The sequence below is a fragment of the Homo sapiens genome, chromosome 5 (assembly GCF_000001405.40).
Source record: "Homo sapiens chromosome 5, GRCh38.p14 Primary Assembly".
Taxonomy (NCBI): Eukaryota; Metazoa; Chordata; class Mammalia; order Primates; family Hominidae; genus Homo; species Homo sapiens.
Window position 1 is genome coordinate 103,193,667 of NC_000005.10, and position 22,717 is coordinate 103,216,383.

The following is a 22,717-nucleotide window of genomic DNA, read 5'->3' on the forward strand; positions in this document are numbered from 1 at the left end:
ACTACTTTTTATTTTCATTAGTGACTACTTTGAGCTCTTTCAGTTAAATGAATAATCATTCATTGTAGGTGTCAACCAGCAAAGGCACATTTGCCATAACTAGCCCACATCTTGGTTTTCAAAAGCATGCTGCCTCTCCCTTTGTTTAGGCAGTCTAGAAGCTCATGCCAGTAGTGTCTCCTTCTCCCCTACTTTGGCCTGTCCTTGCCCAGAGGATTCCATACTTAAGAATTATCCCTACTTCTCCTTTTTACACCTCTCAATTTCTCTGCCTTAGTTAGAAAGAAAACCGGAAAGACTCAACTTTAAAATTCCCTTCCTCTCATTTAGTTAAATTTCAACTGGCTAATATAGGAAAATAGTATCTTTTATTACTTATAACTTAATTAGTTTATTCCTAAATATGATAGTTTAGTATACCATTATATTTGTAGATGAAACATCCCTGAATCTGTAATTGTTATTTTTTTTTAAGACAAAAACAGTTTGAGACTCTGTCTCTTTGTTTTTTTTCCCCCCGAGACAGAGTCTTGCTCTGTCGCCCAGGCTGGAGTGCAGTGGCACAAGTATGGCACACTACAGCCTCAACCTTCCAGGCTCAAGCAGTCCTTCTGCCTCAGCCTCCCGAGTAGCTGGAACCACAGGCCCAGCTAATTTTTAAATTTTCAATAGAAATGAGGCCTCCCTGTGTTGCCCAGGCTGGTCTTGAACTCCTGGGGTCAAGCGATCCTCCTGCCTTGCCTAACTAAATTATAAGTAATAAATAAGTCAAATTATTTTTCTGTATTAGCCAGTTGAAATTTATCCTCCTAGTCCCTGGGCAGGCACGGTGGTTCATGCCTGTAATTCCAGCATGAAACACCACGCCTGGTGAGGGGATTACTGATTCTGTTACCAGGCAAGAAAACTATGCCATTAGCTCTTTTCCATGCCTTAAAAACCTCAGTTTCTGTAAGGAAAGGATAAAGTCTGTCGCTCTATTCTTGGCATTCCTTTGGTGCATACTATTTAAATGCTTATCATTTACAGTATAAACAAACATCTATTTGTCTAAGGCCATAACAGAACTATCTTTTTATTAAAAAAAGGTGATTTTGCTGAATTTACCTTGACCATTTTCTTCTGTTATTATGAATATTCGTAGGGTCACTAAATTATAAGAAACTTTCTATGATGTTAAGAGATAATTGGCAGGAAATTATTAAATTAACATGTTTGTTTATTTTTTTTCAGCCTCTACAGCTTTACGTTCCAGTCCAATAATGAGAAAAAAAGTATCTTTAAATACGTATACACCTGCAAAGATCCTCCCAACACCACCAGCTACCTTAAAGAGCACTAAAGCAAGCAGCAAACCAGGTAAGGGGTGTGTGTGTTGAGTTTGTGGATTTGCACAGAAATTAGAGGAATAGTAACTTGCTTTTTAAATGTCAAATTTGTTTTTAATTAGTATCTTTGCACTTCCCTAGAGCGTAATGATCCTAAGGGTTAAAAATCGATTATTGTAGTCAATTGATATATATTTGTTTTTTGTCTGTTGTCTTCCCCTCTCCCCACATCTGTTAACAAAATATATTTCACAGTCACACTTTTCCCCAAACTAATTTACGGACTGTCTTCTTTTGCCTTTCTTTTGAGTTTAAGGCATCATCTTACATGAAAATTTCTATAGGCCAGGCATAGTGGTGCCCACCTGCAATCCCAGCTACTCAGGAAGTGGAGGTATGAGGATTACCTGAGCCCAGGAGTTCAAGTCCAGCCTAGACAACATAGCAAGACCCTGTCTCAAGTATTAAAAAAAGAAAAAAAATTTCTCTTTCCTGATAATATTTTCATCTCTCCATTCTCAGTCTGACTATGTGACTACCAAAATTAATTTTTATTAGCATTTTTCTACTTTAATTATGTGGCACATTTAATTGTATTTTTGACCCTTCCTGAAATGCTCTCTTACCCTATTACTATATTGTGATATTCTATCCATTTATCTTATTCCTCTACTTTTCTTGTTTGATCATCCTTCTTCTTTCTACATTCTTATCCCAGACAAGAACATGATACTCATGATATTCATTTTTCTTACCATATATCTTTTTTCCTCAGAGAATTTCATATACCTCCAAGGCTTTGACAACAGCCTCATTGCAGATGTCTTCATTCTTTTCCTCTAGTGCTCTCAAATGTTCTTTTGGTTAAGAGTTTGTGCTTAACAGTCAGAGAAACCTAGATTAAAATCTCAGTTCTGCTACTTATTAGCTATGTGACTCTGGACAAGTTACTTAACCTCTCTGATCCTTAGTCTTATAGTCATAAAATCGGGTTAATAGTACCTTCTTCATATAACTGTCAGAAATGATTGCAATCTTGTATATAAAGTACTTGGCACACATTGTAAACACTTACTAAATGGTAACTGCTATTAATTATTATACTGTATCCAGTGTTCTCTTTACTTCTCCCCAAATAAATTCCCTTAGCATTCATGCCATTTTTTTCTATTAAAATGTTTTCCCTTTTACCTCACGTCCTTGAAGACTCAACCCAACCTCTTCCACTGATAATGTATTTATATGATTATCAAAACAAGAACTTCAATAACACTCTGTGCTACTGATTTGTTCTATTATACCAGATTATAACTCTATCAGATTACAAGGCCTTATAAGTCAGAGGCAATATCTTAAACCACAAATCTTACAGATTTGAACCTTGCACATTCCAACTAATAAGTATGTGAAACAACAGACAATTGAATAAGTATCTTAAACATAAGTTGTGATGCATCCCATATGCCACACAAAGCTAACATTTGTATAGTTCTTTATATTATAAGCATTTTTCTATTAATTCTCATAGTTCTCACCATAACCTTTAGAGGTCAATACCATTCTTATGTCCATTACAGATGAAAAAAGTAACAGAGATAGTAACTTAATCCCAGCTTACATAGCTAGTAGTCAGTAGACCTAGGATTTGAATGCATTTTGACTCATAGTACATTGTTCTTTAGACACATAATAAATGCATTAGTTCATATACATTTTTAAGTAATAAACTAAAAATGGTGTTATATTTGACATTTCAAATGTTAAGTCAACCTTGCATCCTTAGGATGAACTCTACTCAGTTATGATATATTATATATATGAAGGTCTATAAAATTCTCTGAGGAAAAAAACATAGGGTAAGACAAATGAACAGAGTAGCATGTCACTGTCTGGGATAAGAAAGTGGGAAAAAGAAGGATCATCAACCAGGAAAGTAGAAGGATCAGAGAAACAGAAAGAATATCATGATAGAGTAATATCTTGGAAGTCAGGGTAAGAGAGCATTTCAGGAAGGATCGACAGTACAATCAGATGTGCCACGAAGTTAAGATAGAAAAATGCTGACAAAAGATAGTTAAATTTGATTTTGAAGAAATTTGCATCTGCGTTTGTGAAAGATAGGATACTGGTCTGTAGTTTTTTTTGTTTCTGTTTTTGTAATGCCTTTTTCCAGGTTTTGGTATCAGAGTAATGCTAGCTTCATAAAATAATTGGGAAGTGCTTTCTATTTTCTGAAAGAGTTTTTATAAGATTTTTGTTTCTTCCTTGAATGTTTGATAGAATTAATTTTATATCAATTAATTTTGATAGAATTTATGTTTCCTTTTTGTGATACTTTTGGTAGCTGTATTTTTTTATGAATTTGTTCATTTTATCTAAGTTGTCAAATTGTTGCTCTTTTATTATCTTTTTAATGAATGTGGTAATAACTTCTGTTATTCATGTTACTGGTAATTTGTGTTCTACTTTTTTTTTGTGATCATTCTCACTAGGGATTTATCAATTTTGTTTACTTTTTCAAAGAACCAACTTTTGGCTCTTTGTATTTCTGTTGGTTTTATGTTTAAAACACAAATTTTTTTTTTTTTTTTTTTTTTTTGAGACGGAGTCTCCCTCTGTTGCCCAGGCTGGAGTGCAGTGGTGTGATCTCAGCTCACTGCAACCTCCACCTCCCGGGTTCAAGCGATTCTCCTGTCTCGGCCTCCTAAGTAGCTGGGATTACAGGTGACTGCCACCACGCCTGGCTAATTTTTTTGTGTTTTTAGTAGAGATGGAGTTTCACCATGTTGGCCAGGCTGGTCTCGAACTCCTGACCTCAGGTGATTCGCCTGCCTCAACCTCCCAAAGTCCTGGGATTACAGGTGTGAGCCACCGCACCCAGCCTTAAAACACAATTTTTAAAAAATTATTTTAAATTAATTATTTTAATTATTTTAAAAATTATTTTCTACATCCTACTTACTTTGGGTTTACTTTTATCCTCTATTTCTAGTTTCTTAGGTCATTGATTGTTATCTATTTCAAACATTTAAACCTTTAAGTTTCCCTCTAAGCATTTTAGTTGAGTCTCACAAAAGTTATATTGTATTTTCATTATCATTCAGTTAGAAATACTTTCTAGTTTATTTGTGATTTCTTCTTTGATCCATTGCATATTTAGAAGTATATTGGTTAAATTCCAAATATTCAGGGTTTTTTTATTGTTTTTAATCAATTTCTTATTTAGTTCCATTGCAGTTATAAAAACATACACTGTGTGATTTCAGTCTTTTAAATGTGGGACTTATGGCTTAACATCTGGAATATTTTGAATATAATTTGTGTACTAAAAAAAAAACCCAAATGTTTATCTTATAGTTCATTGATCCTAATGGACACTATTTTATCATTATGCATGAGGTGAAGGTTGTTGATAATGTTCAGATAGTCTGTCTTTACTATTTGGTTTTTCTTTGGCAGAGGGGTGTTCAAGGAAGGGATTGATTGTGCTATCAGTTGTACAGAGAGCGATTACACTCACAACTGCAGAATTGTCTGTTTCTCCCTTTAATTTGGTAGATTTTTGCTTTTTGTGTTTTGGAGCTCTGTTACATAATTAGATGCATATTTGATTATTGGATATTCTTAATAAATTGACTCATTTATTATCATGACTTTTTTCTCTTTAATTTCCAGTAATGTTTTGTTTTATTTTGTCTGATGTGATATAGCTCAACAAACTTTATTTATGCAAGGCATTCTAACAATATCTGCCTTATGGTTGCAGTTTACAGTTCATTAACATTTAATGTAATTGTTGATATGTTGAGGTTAGTCTACTACTTTCTTATGTTTTCTGTTTATTCCTTTTGATTATTATACCTTTATTCTTTCCTACTCTACCTCATTTTGTACTAATTCAATATTTTTAAGAATTTTATTTAACTTTTTCTATGGACTTTTGCTGTATCTTTTTGCATTTTTTTTTGTTGCTCTAAATATATATTCCTAATTTTTCACCATCTACTTAGGGTTAATTTTGTACCACTGAAAGTAAAATGTAGAAGCCTTGCCACTGTATAGATTCATTTACCTTACCCTCTTCCCATTCTTTACACATAGTTATCCTTATGTGTTACTTCCACATATATTATAAACACTACAATACAGTGTTATGATATTTGCTTTAAACAGTCATATGTATTTTAAAGAAACTTAGAGGAGAAAAAGATTCTATATTTATCCATATATTTGCCATATTTTTTGCTCTCTATTCCTTCCTTGAAGTCTGTGTTTCCATCTGGTTTCGTTTGCCTTCAGCCTGAAGTTTTTTAGCATTTCTTAATCTGCAGGTCTGTTGGCAACAAATTCTATTCATTTTTTTGTGTCTGAAAAATGGCTTTATTTTGCCTTCATTCTTGCAGTGTAATTTTTGCTGAATAGAGAATTCTGGGTAGAAAATTTTTTATTTCAGCACTTTAATGATATTCCACTGTCTTCTGGTTACCATTGTTTCTGATAAGAAGACTTAGTTAATTTGAATTACTGTCCACATAAATGCAATGGGTTGTTTTTCTGTGCTTGCTTTCAATGTTTTCTCTTTATCTTTGCTTTTCAGCAGGTTGACTAAGGCATATTTATGTCTATTTTTTTTTTTCTTTTTTGGTAATACTCCAAAAAAGATGTTCATTGGTTGATGTTGATTTGGTTGATTTGGTTGTTGTTTACTTTTACTTCTACTTTTCATTCTGTTGTTAAACCCATCTAGTTTTTATTTCAGACCTTTTATTTCAGATATTTATTCTTTTAGATGTTCTGTTTGATTCTTTTAAATAGTTTTTTTGCAGGGATTTTTCTCTTTTTATTCGTTATAAACTTATGTTTCTTTGTCCTAGAGCATAGTTAGAATTGCTGCTTTAAAATTCTTGTCTGTTAATCTGACTCATCTCCAAAGTGATCTGTATCAATTTATGCATTCTCAGCAGGAAAGATGTTTTTCTGTTTCTTAGTATATTAATTTTGGATTATATTGTAGACATTGTGAATGGTATGTTATAGAAACTCTGGATTTTGTTATTTCTGTTATGTTCCTCCAAAAAATATTGTTTTGTTTGTTTTTAAACAAAGAGTTAGCCTTGGCTGAGCTCAGATTGTAAAATATGGTGTTCCGTGAAGTGGCTGGCAAAAATTTCAGTTCATTTTTTGCTTTAGCTGGGCTCCTTGGACTTTACTCTGCTCATGCCATACATTTGACCATCATTTACAAATAGAATTGTGGGCTCATCCTTTTTGAGATTTTCCACCTTACTTTCTAGCAGCTGTAGTTGCTGCAATACTTGTCTTCTGCTTCTTATGTTGGACTTGTAGCCATTGTACATGGTGCATATTAGGGCCTGTCCTCAGGCTAAAAAGAAGGGGAATGTTATTCCATATTATTCCCTTTTTCCAAGTGCTGATTCTTATCTAGTAACGGCCTGCTCTTGTTCACTATTTAGTATCTTCAGGTAGTTCTTCCTCATATTTAGTACAGAGTGTATATTTGTTATCTGTGGGAAGATTGGTCTGATAGAAGCTTACCCATACATCTATTCATCCATAGTAGAAATGTAATAATGTAATGCCACCTAGAATGGTTTTTTATTTTATTTATTTATTTATTTATTTATTTATTTATTCTTTTGAGACAATGTCTTGTTCTGTTACCCAAGCTGGACTGCAGTGGTGCAATCATGGCTCACTGCAGCCTCAACCTATCAGGCTCAAGCAATCTTCCTACGTTGGCCTCCTGAGTAGCTGAGACTATAAGTGTGTGCCACCACACCCAGCTAATTTTTAAAGTTTTTTGTAGAGAAGGGGGTCTCACTATGTTGCCAGGGCTCGTCTTGAACTTCTGGGCTCAAGCGATCCTCCCACGTTGGCCCTCCAAAGTGTTGGGATTACAGGCATGAATCACCCTGCCTGGCCTAGAATAGTTTTTTGATAATTCATGAAGACTTCATGTTGGTTTAGACACAGAAGGATGATTCCTAAGTCAAGCGTGCTTCTAGTTTTCTTACCTTCTAGCTTTTTAGAGAGGGATAAGATAGAAGATACAAGAGGAAATAGATGCTTGTAGAGAAAATGATGAGTTCAGTTTATGCATATTAAGTTTGTCTTTCTCGTCAGATATCTTTAAAGAAAGTTTCAATTGGCAGTTGTATATACATATCTTGAGCTAAAGGAAAAGGCCCAGGCCAGAAGTATAAATTTAAAAATCATTAGCACAATGGATGGTAGTTAAAAATTATGAAAATATATTCATTTCCTAGGAAGCATGTAGAGTAAAATGAGAAATTAATTTTGTGAACACAGCCCATTGTCATTACCTTTCTATATTTGTGTTGAATTCTGAAAAGTAAAAGGTTAAAAATGCTATATTAAATTTTTACATTTCATTTACATCACAATTATAACAAGAATTGTTTTGTCAATCAGCAGTATTATTTGAACTTGGATTGTTTGTGTAAATTTAAGCAATAGTTTTTTTTTTTTGTTTTTGTTTTATGTAGCTACAAGTGGACCTTCTAGTGCAGTTGTTCCTAATACCTCATCTCGGAAAAAGAATATAACTAGCAAAACAGAAACGCATGAACACAAAAAAAACACTGGGAAAAAGAAATGAAATCTTAGCAGAAGCTGGAACTTTTTATACTTATAAAAATAGTATGTTCTTATGTTTCTCCTTATGCATTTATGTGTTCACTTAAAAATGTTTTTAAATCTAAGGTTTTCTTTGTTTATGTTCAGGTAAGGAACTGTTGTCATGATCTGGAAATGTTTAAAACAATGTTTGTTAGCATTCTGTGAGCAGCAAAACTTATAGTGATAAAAATCGATTGTTGTTAATATGATGTTTACCATGTGCACATAGTAATGAAAAGGAACATAAAAGCCCAGCAGGCTCGTACCAAAGTCACAGCAGTAATGCTATGTACTGCAGAGTCTGATGAGCTGGCCTTTGTGCACACTTTTATTTTCATGGGATTGCATCTTAGCTGTTAAAACTTCTAGATTGAAATTTGACAGCCAGGGTTACATATTGGGGACTTTTAAAGTGTCTTTCCAAAGAGATTTCATTAACCGTTTAGATTAGAATATCTTTCCCAATTGTTACAGTGACATATATGCTGCAATATTTAACAACTGGAGTATTAGCCACATGGGTTATTTTTTCAATCTGTGTTTTGAATTTTTTTATTGTGTGTTATTTAAAATATTACATATGCAGCTGGGAGAACTACACCTTTGTGCACATAGATTTATATATTAATTTGTAGAAAATATTTTCTTTATATATTTCCTTACCATACAAGGTGCCTTGTTCATCAGGAAAACTTTTGTTTTGTATTTTGACAAGAAAGGCACCTTCAGAGTTTCTTTTTAAGTATAGTTGACAAGTGTATAAATGTTACACTTACTTTCAGAGTTCTTTTTAGATCTAAAGAAGTCAGTTCAAAAATGGAAATCAACAATGTTAGGAGAAATCTGAATTCTGTTAAGTTAGTAAGTATTATGTATAGCATCTGTTTTTAACCATTTCCATTCTTATCCCTAGTGTATCAGTTGATCACACTAAGAAAGCTTAAAGATTGAGCATTTGAAATAAATGCTCTTTATAAATGATTAGATTTTTGAAGGGATATTGAAATCATTGCGCTGTGATTTCATCTGTGATGTGAAAAATCAATTTATTATCCTTGGTGCTTTCCCCCCCACCAATGCACAAATAATTGTGAACAGCTTGAAATGACTTAAACTGTAATCCAAATGGGACAATCTGATAAGAATTTCATGCATTGGTAGTTAAATAACTTAAATTGCTAAAGCTTTAGCTTGAAATTTATGTTTAGAAAAACTATTGATTTCCCATGGTATGAATATAACTATTGTAATTCTTCAAATGAGACTCTTCTCACCTTAAATAGTCATATATTAATTAACTTATAGGAAATAAGCATACTATATGTTAGCTGTTTTAAAAGGTACCAGATGTAAGAGTCATAAATATATGCAATTAAAGAAGTTCATAGATTTCACATGAATGTAAATGTGTTATATGGAGACATGTCTTGTAAACAGTTGAATGTATGTAAGTTTTCTGTTTGTGAAAATGTAGTTAATGTACTCACTGTGGAGGTCATAAGGAAGCTACTTTTTTTTTAAAGTGGAACCTAATTAAAATATTTCCAGAATCAAAGAGACTTAAATGGTAAATTTTTAAAATTTTCTTATCTCTTACTTTTTAGTTTTCAAAGTAGAAAAAATCAGGAATTTTTTTATTAACTAGTACTTACATATTAAATAAAATTTATTATTGGCTATATACATAGCAATATATTACTTTCCAAACTAGAAAGTACAGTACAACTAACTTTTTCCATTGTTATGCAAGAACTATTACTTTCCTGTAGTCACCAAACTCAGTAGTATTGCTCTGTAGACTAGACACTCTATTTGTAAAAATCTTAGAATCACTTTCCAAAACAAATAAAAAGTCTACTGTATCAGAGCAAAATGTTATAGTTATCACTGTTTAGTGGCAGTTTGACTGAAGCATCTGTTTCTCACTTGATTCTGTCCTGAGAAGATGTGGGATTTTTTGGTTTTAAATACTAGAAGATATTTCTTCTTAGAGCCCAGTCCTCCATCCCAAAGAGGTGAACTAGCCCAGCATGAAGAATTGTCTAGTCACCCTGAGATATTAATCTTCATAATGTATTATTCAGTTCCTTCACCCTTAAAAGCCATATAATAGGCTCAGACCTAACTTAGCCCTTGAAGTCTAGTGCTGGCAGATTCTGCTGCCCTGGTTTAAATGAGTTACGTAGTCCATTCTCAAATACTAGCAAATTTGGGGGGCGTGGTACAGCAATTTTGGGTGAAGAAAAGTGTGCTGAACACCTTATGTCAGTGATAGACAAGATATAGAGGCTGAAGGGAATACAGTAAAGTAACAAAAACATGTGGCAGTGTGCTTAGCATAAACATAGAGCACAAAGGCAATAGATGGAAATTATGAGAGAAAAGTTAAAGTTCTTCAAGAAATATCCAATTAAAACTCACTAGCCAAGGAAAAAGTTTCTGTTTTCACCCGGATTTCTTTTTGGGTTGACTCTGTCTGACCTAAATGTCCACTGTTAACTAGTGCCATGCCAGTTTGAACCAAGATTTCACATTTTTGTTTTGTATTCATACTTTGGTAGAAATTTCTCAGTCTTTGTGTATTTATAAGAATTTGCTTTACACATAGTGTACAGTGTTTATTAACTTTACATCATTTTATCCTTGCCTTACTATCTGGACAGTGTAGACTGCCTATATTCTTAGTTGGGGTTGGGATCTCTTCTCTTAGAGTGGCCCAGCAGTTTTAGCCCCTCTCTAATTCTCTTTTCCTGTGTTGGGAGATATCAAAACAACAGAATTCTTGCCAGTGGGAACATTTTTCTTTTTTAGACAAGGTCTCATTCTGTCACCCCAGCTGGAGTGCAGTGGCACAGTCTTAATTCACTACAGCCTTGAACTCCTGGGCTCAAGAAATCTTTCTGCTTCAGCCTCCTAAATAGCTGGTACTATAGGTGCGTGCCACCACACCCAGCTCATGGGAATAATTTTTACACTCCTTCAGAAGGAGTCATTTGTGATTGGAGTCCACATAGAAACAGGTTTCCCTCTGTACATAATCGTAGGTACCAAAATATTACTGTGTAAAGTGTTGTTTATATAGGTCAATTTTTGTGGAAGATCTAATTTCTATTTTCAGAGAACAGAGCACATTAAAAAATCTATTTAGTATTGTGTACTATATAATCTATGTGAATTATAGCTCCTTAACTAAATATATTACTGAGTTTTTTTTTTAATACTGTAAGTTCTAGGGTACATGTGCACAATGTGCAGGTTTGTTACATAGGTATACATGTGCCATGTTGGTTTGCTGCACCCATGAACTCATCATTTACATTAGGTATTTCTCCTAATGCTATCCCTCCCCCAGCCCCCCACCCACTGACAGGCCCAGTGTGTGATGTTCCCCGCCCTGTGTCCAAGTACTGTTCTCATTGTTCAGTTCCCTCTTATGAGTGAGAACATGCGGTGTTTGGTTTTCTGTCCTTGTGATAGTTTGCTGAGAATGATGGTTTCCAGCTTCATCCATGTCCTTGTCATCCTTTTTTTTGGCTGCATAGTATTCCATGGTGTATATGTGCCACATTTTCTTAATCCAGTCTATCATTGATGGACATCTGGGTTGGTCCCAAGTCTTTGCTATTGTGAATAGTGCCACAATAAACATACGTGTGCATGTGTCTTTATAGTGGCATGATTTATAATCCTTTGGGTATATACCCAGTAATGGGATGGCTGGGTCAAATGGTATTTCTAGTTCTAGATCCTTGAGGAATCGCCACACTGTCTTCCACAATGGTTGAACTAATTTACACTCCCACCAAGTGTTCCTATTTCTCCACATCCTCTCCAGCATCTGTTGTTTCCTGACTTTTCAATGATCGCCATTCTAACTGGCGTGAGATGGTATCTCATTTGTAAGATGATATCTCATTGAGATTTTTATAAACTGCTTTTCTTTTGGTTCATGTGCTTTGTCATGGATTGTGAGAAAAACATCTTTTCGCTTAGGGATCACTGTCAATTTCTCCTTTTATTATCAATGGTTTTTACTTTACTTTTTATATAGTATGTGGGTATGTTTTCTGGTGCATATAAATTCATGAATGCTAGATTTTCATTATAGGTTTTACCTTATCATTATTAAAATGTCCTTTTTGTCCATTGGATACTTTTTGTTCTATAAATTGTCAGATATTAAGATTATGACCTATGCTTTATTTTGGCTTGCATTTGCCTGATATTCATCTTTTTACTTTTTGGTATTTGTGTCACTTTGTTTTAGGTTATTTAATATAGTATATATTGGGTTTTGCTTTGTGATTCAATTTTAAGATCCCTTTTACTTAATAGATTAGTGTAGTCTGTTTTATGTAATGTATCTTTGCTTTTAGATTGTGCTTGCTTTTTTTATTGCTTTAAAATTCTTTTGTCTTTCTGTAACAATACTTTCCACTGCAAGTAGGAAAATTCCAATTGAAACTGGTTTAAATCATCAGAAAATGTATTATTACACATTTCTGAAGGTCCAAAGGTGGGGTTGGCTTCAGCCACAGTTGCATTAGCCATATTGTCATCAAAAGCCCAAGTGACCTCCCTTGTCACCTCTGGCATAGTATAAACTTTATCCCAAAGTTGTTTTCTCTCGTGTTAACAATAATTGCTGTCGGTTTCAGTGAGGACTACATATTTTTTTTGTTCATGTCCAACACAATAAAAATTGAGGGAAGTTCTGTCCCAATCCTGGAATATTAATATTAAGCCATCTACTTCAGTGTGATTGAGCCAACTTCTTTGATCATCTACTCACCCCTAGATAAATAGAATACTCCAGGAGATTCCCATGACCTTACTGACCCTAGAGCAGATGATGGAGTCAGTTTTTCCGAAAAGCCTCAGCACTGTTGACATTTTGGACCATAAAATTCTACATCATAGGAAGCTGTTCCATGCATAGCAGCATGTCTAGTAGGATCTCTGTACCTAGCTGTGAAGTGTTGAGAGTCAGTTAAGGTAAGTAGCTGAAATGAAAATAACAATCACATCTTTATTCACTTACTATGATAAAATTATAAGCAAGAGACCAAAAAGGAAAGTAGGGCCAGCTCCTTGTTGTTCCATTTTTCCCCTACCATGGACTAGCACTGGACATGCGTCAATCAGACGACATGCAGTCCAGGCAGAGGAAATTGTTTCACTGCTAAGGAGCAATGAACAAAAGGTTCCTGCCATCTTATGGACCTCAAGGACTGCGGACAGGGAGCAGGGAAGGGTTAGAAGTAGAAAACAACTGAGTCAGAGTGGAGATGAGTGTCTCAGTCAAGGCCCACCAATAGCGAGGTCTCTGTGGAGGCACCTGAAAAGTGTCTCAACCAAGGCCCCCTGATAAGGAAGACTCAGCATGGAGGTACCTGGTCTAGGAATGCAGCTAGGTTTATAGACATGGCCAGCCCAGGGGGTCCTGAGCACCAGATACAACTCCCTCCAGAGACTGGCTGTGTTTAAATCTCATGTGGGAAGGGCACCTTTCCCCTACAAAGCCTGTCAGGCAAAGCCTTTGTAATTGCTTATGGTCAGGCCTGAAAGATCACACATCAGACTTTGGCCTGGAACATATCTCCTCACCCTAAATGCCAGCAGCATCGCCTCCAAACTGTGGCAGTCAAAAATGTCTCCAGACATTAGTAAATGTCTTTTGTGAGGGAAGAATTGACCCTAGTTAAGAACCACTGCCCTAAAGCACATGATTCTGTGGAAAAGAAGGATATATGACCAAAATCATCATTTTGGATAGTGAGGGCATGGATAATGGATACATAATCAGCAATGTATGCTGTATACTACACTTGCATTATGTTATTCACATTTGCTATAGTTCACTTGTTGTGCTAATGGTTTTTTCCTTCACTATGATTTTGAATTATATTTAATTTTAAAGTCTATATATATATATATATAGATCCTATCTGTTGACTCCTTGCTGTGAACAATATCCAATTAGTGTATTTTTTCCTCTACTGCACAGTTTTGGTTGATTATTTTTTCCTTTTCATTTCTTTTCTGAACTTTGTTAGCTTATGTTGCATTTCCTTTGGTTGTTTTGCTATGGTGTTTCTGATCAACTACATTTCTTTATGAACTCTATTTCCTTAAGTTCTTTGAGTTATGACAGTATATTTGGTCACATTTTTCATGTGCTCAGCTGATTCATTCTTTCCTGTTGAGTGGTTTTTATCTGCTAATTGTTTCTGCTTGTTCCATTTCTCCTTTTCTTGAAGTGTTTGTGCATGAACACTGTGCAGGTTTATTTTCAAGTATTACTTACCTTTATATGAGATAAATTTCTTTCTGGCTCATCTATTTGATACAATTTCTTTTTTGTTTGTTTTTGTTTTGTTTTTGTTGTTTTTTAAAATGCAATTTCATATGTTAGGTAGGTTGGCTTTTCTTTTTCTTTTTCTTTTTTTTTTTGAGATGGAGTTTTACTCTTGTTGCCTAGGCTGGAGTGCAGTGGCATGATCTCAGCTCACTGCAACCTCCACCTTCCAGTTTCAAATGATTCTCCTCCCTCAGCCTCCAGAGTAGCTGGGATTACAGGCGCCCGCCACCACGCCTGGCTAATTTTTGCATTTTTAGTAGAGACTGGGTTTCACCATGTTGGCCAGGCTGGTCTCGAACTCCTGACCTCATGATCTTCCTGCCTCAGCCTCCCAAAATGCTGGAATTACAGGCATGAGCCATCATGCCCGGCCGTAGGTTGGCATTTTAAGCTCACACAATCCTACCAAGGTGACAGTGAATCTCCTTATGACAGGATTGTGGGTCTGAGAGAGCTGTTGTAGCCTTTTACTCTCTCCAGTCAACAAAGATTGGCAACTACAGGGTTACCACCTTTGGAGTCTCTTTCCTCCTGTCTGCCACGTCTACAGACTACTGCTTGTCAATGTGATATGCATGTATTTTCTTCTTCAGCTTTGCCCCTCCTGCCACTGTACCAGACAATATCCAGGAAATCCCCTACTACTGACACTCATCCCATTTCCATTGTTTTAGAGAAGGAACTAGTTGTTGTTGTTTTTTTTTCCCTGTCTCAGATTATGTCATCTATTTTGGAGTATTTTGGTCTAATGACTTTGGCTGCGATATGGAGCTATCTGACCTTTACTGCACCTGGCAGCTCTATCTCCTATTTTGGGGTTGAGGTTAAAGTGTCTTCTAGTTTTGTTGAAGATAGTTTATGTTTCTCTTCATATTTGATGATAATTTTTTAAATTAAGACCTAATTTCTCCTTCATTTTCAAACTGGATATCATTTCTTTTGTGGTTAATATTCTTTGACAAGAAGGAAGAGGAGGAGGAAGAAGAACAAAAGAAGCCTGCCTCTCTTTAGACTGCCCATCTCAATTATATTTTAAAAATGAAGTTAATATCTGTCCTGCTAACAGTAGTGTTGTCAGAATCAAATGAAATAATATTTGGTAAACTATAAAGTGAAGACCAAATTTGAAGGACTATTTGTTTTTGTTGTAATAGAGTTGTATATAGTCCAGATGTCAACCAGGCCTCTTCAGCATTTTTATAGTCAAAGATGTACAAGATAGCTCCTAATGCTCTTTTATGGCTGCTCCTGTTGCCAGGGCAACAGCCTGCCTAGTAACAATCTAACAGACACCCCCCAAAAACCAAAAAATAAAGGTTATTCTAGCATCTTCTCCTTTTAAAAATCTTTAAAATAAGAGAATTCAGTTCTTCCCAAAGCAGTGTTTAAAAAAAAAAAGTATTTAAATAAAATCAAGGATACCATCCCACCCACCTATCTTACATTTTGTGTGGTATGAGTGGCACCATTGTGTGACCCAGGTAGGATAGTGGATGTACAGTTTAGATACCCATTTTAAAGCAGTTAGAAAGATGTAACTTGACAAGGAAAGCAGTCTCTTTTGTCATTCTACATTTAGTGCTTCAGGAGTACTTGATATATGGAAGGATTTTTTTAAAAAAAAGGAAAAATGAATATGCCTTCAGAAAGTTTTTTGCTGCTTTTAAAAGCCATAGATTTGTCTTAAGTTAGTCAATGCTGAATAGAAAGCTTGATGATAAAGGTGGGTGGGTGGATGGATGGATGGATGAATGAAGGAAAAATTAGGAGAAAAGAGAAAGCAGAGGAGGGGTGAGACAGAGAACAAAAGAACACAGGCTCTACTGTTAACAAAAAGCAGCATCGCTGATGTGTGGGGAATAAATTGGAAGTCATATCATTACGACTTTTTTTTCATGCCACATAGATATGCTGATTTGTCCAACAATGCCTGTACTCAAAAGTCATGACAATAAAATGAGACCTGGGAGTCCCAAATGTTATTAACTACCACAATTTTATATAACTGATTCTTCACTGGTCATCCAGAAGCCTTTTTGAAAGTCCCACTGCCATACCTGCCTCCTCGGTGAAATAGATGTAAAAGCCACAAAGAGAGAATCAATGAGCCACACTCATATTGGAAGCGAATGGAGTTGACTTCACCAGTGGGAAAAGCAATTACTTTTCAAAGTGAAAACTGATCAATTCACAACTCAAGGAAAGCATGGAGTAATTTCAGAACTCCAGTAAGAAGTGATAAATGTCTAGTTTGGAATCATGTGGCTGAAAATCTTACCATATGCTTTCCACAGGCTGAGCAAGAGGATAGATCATTGAATAGATGCTTTAATTCCATTTTTGACAATGAACCTTGTGCTTCTGAAAATATTTATATTTAACCATGAGGTTATGATGATTTTTTCTCTACACTTTTTGAGAAGCCTCTTCAGAAAAGAGCAAAGTTGTCTGCTCTAATGGATAGAATAAGGAGCTGGGAGAAAGGAGACCTGGGTATTAATCTCAGCTCTACCACTACATGGTAGAGCTATGTAGTGGTAGACTATCTGGGAGACTCTAGAATCTTTACCATTCCCTCTACTATTCCTAGCTCCCTTTTCTTTCATAGTCAACAAGTGCTTTTTGAACAATTATTGAGGTAAATAACATACCCTAAAAGTTAGTACTGATTCCCATTATCATGCTCTGTTGTTCCCTGGATGCTCTTTTGAGGAATTTACTTGGTTAATACAGTTAATAGTATAATACTTATAATAACAATTTTGAGAATTATCAGCATGAGACAATTTATTTGCATAATAGCTTTTTGTTATTATCCAGAATACATTTAGTTCTGGATTTTGTTTGATATTGTGAATGCAAACTATTTTTTTGTGTTAGCCTAAATAAAATGAAATACAGTTATGGAAATATTTCTGCTGCAAGAAAAGAATTACATACAACTAGTATACATATTTAGAGGTGCTGTAGTCTTCTAGACTGTAAAGGCAGATGGCCGTGAGTGGAAATCTGAGTGTATAGGATGTGTTTCGTGTTCCCACTGCATATGCATTATTACCCTTGTCTGAGTGGTTGTTTAAACTGACATCTGTAAAACTAATCTGTAAAGTGAGATCTGGGTTCTGACCTATCTCTTACAGTCCATAATGTTGTGATTCTAAGAATATTTCATTCCTTACTGCTTTCTGCCCTCCATTCTGACCAATGCTGCAACCACAAATAAAAACATTACTTACCCTATGAGAAAGACTAGACCTTATACTCATTTTATCTTAACAGTTTATTATAACTCATTTTGACCACTCCTCCCTCAAAAAAAATTGTCCCTAGAAAACTAGAGTGATCATAGGGATCAGATGACATGTTACTGGGTGAAGCCAGGAAGCTACCATATACATAGAAAAGTTAGTTGCCAAATATGGTGTGGGAATTTGGGAGGAATTTATCTGCTCAAAAACTCTCACCTACTTACTAGATATAGTGTTTGTAATGTTAGCCTTGGAGATTCTACCTTAAAAATATCATTGAGAAAGCTCAGAGAACTCCCAGGTAAACACACAGGTAGCCCCTTCTAAAATGCAAATGCCCTTTGAAGGCCAGCTTTATTAATCTTGCCATTAACCCCATAGTTAATCATATGCATTTCTCACAGTGACCTGAAAACAGGCATTCCTTCTCTAAATGTGTGCTGAATGCTGGTTATAAACCAGTTACTACACTAAGCCCTGATGATACAAATATGAAAAGTCCTGTTTCCAGGGAATTTACTTTCTAATGAGGAACCAAGTGCTCAAAAGCAGTCATAAAGTTCATGGCAAAATAACCCACATAATTAACTGCTTTGTTACAAAAACTTGGAAATATAGATAAAATATTTATTTTGGAAATATATGTTACAGGTGAAAAGCAAGAATTAAAACTAGTTATCTGAATGTAAAAGGAATCAACGGCTAAATCAAGCTTAAAGTCTTCCTGTCCAAGGGATATGAAAGGTACCTCAACCTTTGGTTTTGGTTTTGGTTTTGGTTTTGTTTTTTTGGTCAACATGAATTATAGCTAGGGGAAGAGATAAACAGGGGGTTAGGTTGTAGATTATATGCATGACAGATTGCTGGAATTGGGCTCCATTCACAAAGGAGGGAGCAGGAAAGGGTTTCTCTTGACTGGACCACAAATATAAAATCTCATGCCCTCTCATTATCTTGATAAGCCCTATAGGTCCATAAAAGAAATAAAATGCCAAAACATACCATGAGGACACTTTCACAATCCAGGGCACACACATGACTCCCGCAATAGGAAACCACACTGAAGACATTCTCACAATTTAAAACAAGTTGTAAACTACAGGAAACAGTTGGCATCCCAGGAGAGTTGTTGCCTGAGGAACTAGATGGTGGTATGTTATTCTGGCATATAGGGAACAGAATAAGACATGAGGGTAGGAAGAGGTTTTTAAAAGCAAAGTTAGGCATTCAATGATGACTTCATAAATGTGCCTGGGCTGGCCTTTAATGGAAGGCTTTAATTTAGGGAACTTAAAGAATTTCATAATATTGGAGTATAAACTGCTGGAAATAAGGATGCTATTTAATAGACTCTCTTAGATTTTTCATAAAATGCTAATAGAATCCCAAAGGAAGTGTGTATTCTAAAATGTTATTGTGTATGTTATAAAAGCTTTGTAAAATAAAGTGATGTTAAGCTACTATTGTAAAGTTAAAAATTTTTTCAGTCATCTGTAATCTCATTACCCAAGTAAAACTGTTTTCATTTTTCCATTATCCCTTTTAGTTGTTTATTTCCATTACCCTTAGGCATGTTAATGTAGTTGCAATCATTGTATTGTGAAAAAATTTGTCTTTCCTAAATTCTTTATATTGGACAATATTTCCTATGTTACAAAATATTTATAAAGTTCATAAATATCACTTTAAAATTTTGGCATTTTTCTAAAAATTTTAAAATTTTTATTAGAGTAATACATACATATAATCTAGAAGGTCAAATGTAATTCACCTATATAACAAACTTGCATTTGTACCCCTGAAACTAAAATAAAAGTTAAAAAAAAAAGGGAAAGAAACTTTGAGCTGAAAAAGTGGCCGCTATAATGATGTGAAATGGCATCTTCAAAATTTTGGTGGTGGTGGTGGTGGGTAACATAATTTATTCCTTAGTGGGAAAGACTTGTTTATCTTCTAACAATGGGAAGCTTGAGAATTAAGTGACATACCAAAGTATGTCAAAGTGCTTTGGTTCCTTGCCTCTTTTTTTCCCTTTACCTATACCCACACCTACCTCAAGTCCCATTTTCTAAAAGGATCTCCTTTTAAGAGTACTAGCTTTTTCTTCAGATATTTACCACCATGTTTCTATATAGTAATGCTATACATCTATATTTTGATTTACCAATTTTAGATATTATTTATTGACTTCTTGTTTTGGTAAGTAAGAAATTAACCTTCTAAACTCTACTCTTCCTCTTTTTCCTCCAATAATTTAATATTATTAAGTCATTAATCAATGCTTATAGTATTAATGGCTACGTAAATATTGTTATTGCTGAGCCAAGTAGTATATTACGGTCATTTCTTATACCATATTTGTTTCTGCTTGGAATTAATTATTTATTTGGTTTTCATTGTATACATATTTCAGATTCTTTAGATTCTTCAATGAATGTGTAAAGTAGAGCTCAGTATTATTTTCAACATTATAGATAACCATTTGCATCTTTTTTTTCTCCCTGAATATTTCCTCCTGTTGCTTGTTAATGGAAGCTGGGCCCAAAAAACTAGGAAAAAACAATGGCAGATTCTCAGAAATCAATCAATGTCATGTTATTATTGTTAAGAGTTGTGTGGCCCTACACAGAACCACTGAAAGAATTTGAAATGAATGAAGGATTCATAAAATTCAGTTTCTAATGTTAGGCATGGAGACATTTATATTTTAAAAAGGACCAAAAAAATTGAAAATCCAGTAAGGCATATAGCCAATTAGATAGAGGTGGCAAACTTGAAGATTTCTCTGAGTAGACAGAAGAATTAGACGATGTATATTTTGAATCTAAGGCATTCATGCTACACAACAACCTCCTTTTTTGGGTCATAGAATGCTTAACATAGCAACTATAAACAATGCTCTCAGTAAGAACATGAATCCAGTCCCTGCTCAGGCCAAAACAATTGCAACAAAAACAAAAACTGACAAATGGGACCTAATTAAACTAAAGAGCTTCTGTACAGCAAAAGAAACTATCAACAGAGTAAACAGACAACCTACAGAGAGGGAGAAAGTATTTGCAAACTATGCATCTGACAAAGGTGTAATATCCAGAATCTATAAGGAGCTTAAATAAGCAAAAAATAACCCCATTAAAAAGTGGGCAAAGGACATGAACAAACACTTTCCAAAGAAGACATATATGTCACCAACAAGCGTATAAAAAATGTTAAACATTACTAATCAGAGAAATGCAAATTAAAACCAAAACAAGATACCATCTCACACCAGTCAGAATAGCTATTATTAAAAAGTAAAAAAATAGCATGCTGGCAGGGTTGCAGAGAAAAGGGAACACTTATACCCTGTTGGTGGGAATGTAAATTAGCTCAACCATTGTGGAAGGCAGTTTGGCAATTTCTCAAAGGACTTAAAACAGAACTACCATTCTACCCAGCAATCCCATTACTGGGTATATACCCAGAGGAATATAAATCATTCTATCATGAAGACACATGCATGTGTATGTTCATCGCAGCACTATTCACAACAGCAAAGACATGGAATCAACCTAAATGTCCATCAACGGTAGACTGGATAAAGAAAATATAGTACATATACACCATGGAATACCACCGAGCCCAAAAAAGAATGAGATGATATGCTCTGTATTAATAGCAACATGGATGCAGCTGAAGGCCATTATCCTAAGCGAACTAACACAGAAACAGAAAACCAAACACCACATGTTCTCACTTGGAAGTGGGAGCTGAACATTGAGTCCACACAGACACAAAGAATTACAATAGGCACTAGGGCCTACGTAAAGGTGGAGGGAGTGAGGAGAGTGAGGATTGAAAAACTACCTATGCTTATTACCTGGGTGATGAAATAATCTCTACACCAAACCACCATAACATATAATTTACCTATATAACAAACTTGCATTTGTACCCCTGAGCCTAAAATATAAGTTAAAAAAAAAAAAGAAACTTTGAGCTGAAAAGGTGGCCACTATAATGGCATGAAGTGGTAGCTTCAAAATTTTGGTGGTGGTGGTGGTGGGTAACATAATTTATTCCTTAGTGGGAAAGAGTTATCTTCTAACAATGGGAAGCTTGAGAATTAAATAGAGCAATATTTAAGGGATTCAAACTAAAGTAACAATATTTCTTGCATTAAAGAATTACTACATTTTTGTATTTTTATGTAACTAAGTTTTTTTTGTTTTTTTTGTTTTTTTTTTTTTGGAGTCAAGAGTCTTGCTCTGTCACCCAGGCTGGAGTGCAGTGGCACGATCTTGGCTCACTGCAACCTCCACCTCCCAGGTTCAAGGTGATTCTCCTGCCTCAGCCTCCGAAGTAGCTGGGACTACAGGCACACGCCACTACGCCCAGCTGATATTTTTGGTTGTATTTTTAGTAGAGACAGGGTTTTATCATGTTGGCCAGGCTAGTCTTGAGCTCCTGACCTCAAGTGATCTGCCCACCTCGGCCTCCCAAAGTGCTGGGATTACAGGTGTAAGCCATGGCACCTTGCCTAATTGTAATATTTTTAAAAATTTAGCCAACTGTAGCTAACAGATCAGCCTTGTGATTCTAATTTTAAAACATGTAATTGATTTAATTTGATTTAAAATTCAAATCAAATTTAATTTATTTTCACATTATAAGAATTCCATGAGCACCTAGGAATGGTTTTCTGACATTTAAAGCATTTATAATGCAGTTTAAAGTGCTTAAATGGGTATTATGAACTCATCAAGAAAATGGAACTGAACATCAATCAAAAGATCCTTCAAAAAGCTACTAAAATTTGCTGGATTTACAAATAGAAAATGTTATCTTTGAATTTGTAACTTTAGTAAATTAAACATTTTAAAAGACAGACTACTCTCTAATCTTTTTTGTGTCCCCAAACTGCCCTTGAGGCCATTTAAAAAACATTTAACAGGGTCACCTCCTTCTGCTCCAGTTTGGGCCAAATTCTCTCTAAGTTGCTTCCCCTAATTTCCTGTCTTACTTCATGTGTGTTTTAGATTCTCTGCCCGTACCTTCCTCTGAATCACGTGGTGACAGGGTCACAGTGTTTTTCCAGGAAGGAGGAAGGGTAAGCCTAGAAACCACTGATGTCCCTTACA

The 22,717-nt window shown here is 35.0% G+C and overlaps 1 protein-coding gene across 29 annotated transcripts in view, besides 1 other annotated feature; it reads left to right on the forward strand.

Moving 5' to 3' along the window:
- The window catches only part of PPIP5K2 (diphosphoinositol pentakisphosphate kinase 2), a 92,499-nt gene extending 73,366 nt beyond the window's left edge, over nucleotides 1-19,133 (forward strand). For all 29 annotated transcript variants that reach the window (NM_001281471.3, XM_005277534.3, XM_005277536.3 and 26 more), the window contains 2 exons: nucleotides 1,234-1,359; nucleotides 7,856-19,133. In NM_001281471.3, the coding sequence (NP_001268400.1) occupies nucleotides 1,234-1,359; nucleotides 7,856-7,968 (239 nt within the window). In that variant the 3' untranslated portion in view covers nucleotides 7,969-19,133. The remainder of the gene's footprint in view (nucleotides 1-1,233; nucleotides 1,360-7,855) is intronic.
- Nucleotides 18,278-18,467: an enhancer, noted in NCBI's record as "active region_22860". NCBI's record gives its function as "activates an Ori minimal core promoter by ATAC-STARR-seq in GM12878 lymphoblastoid cells {active_cell/tissue: GM12878}" and the evidence as "EXISTENCE:reporter gene assay evidence [ECO:0000049][PMID:35858748]".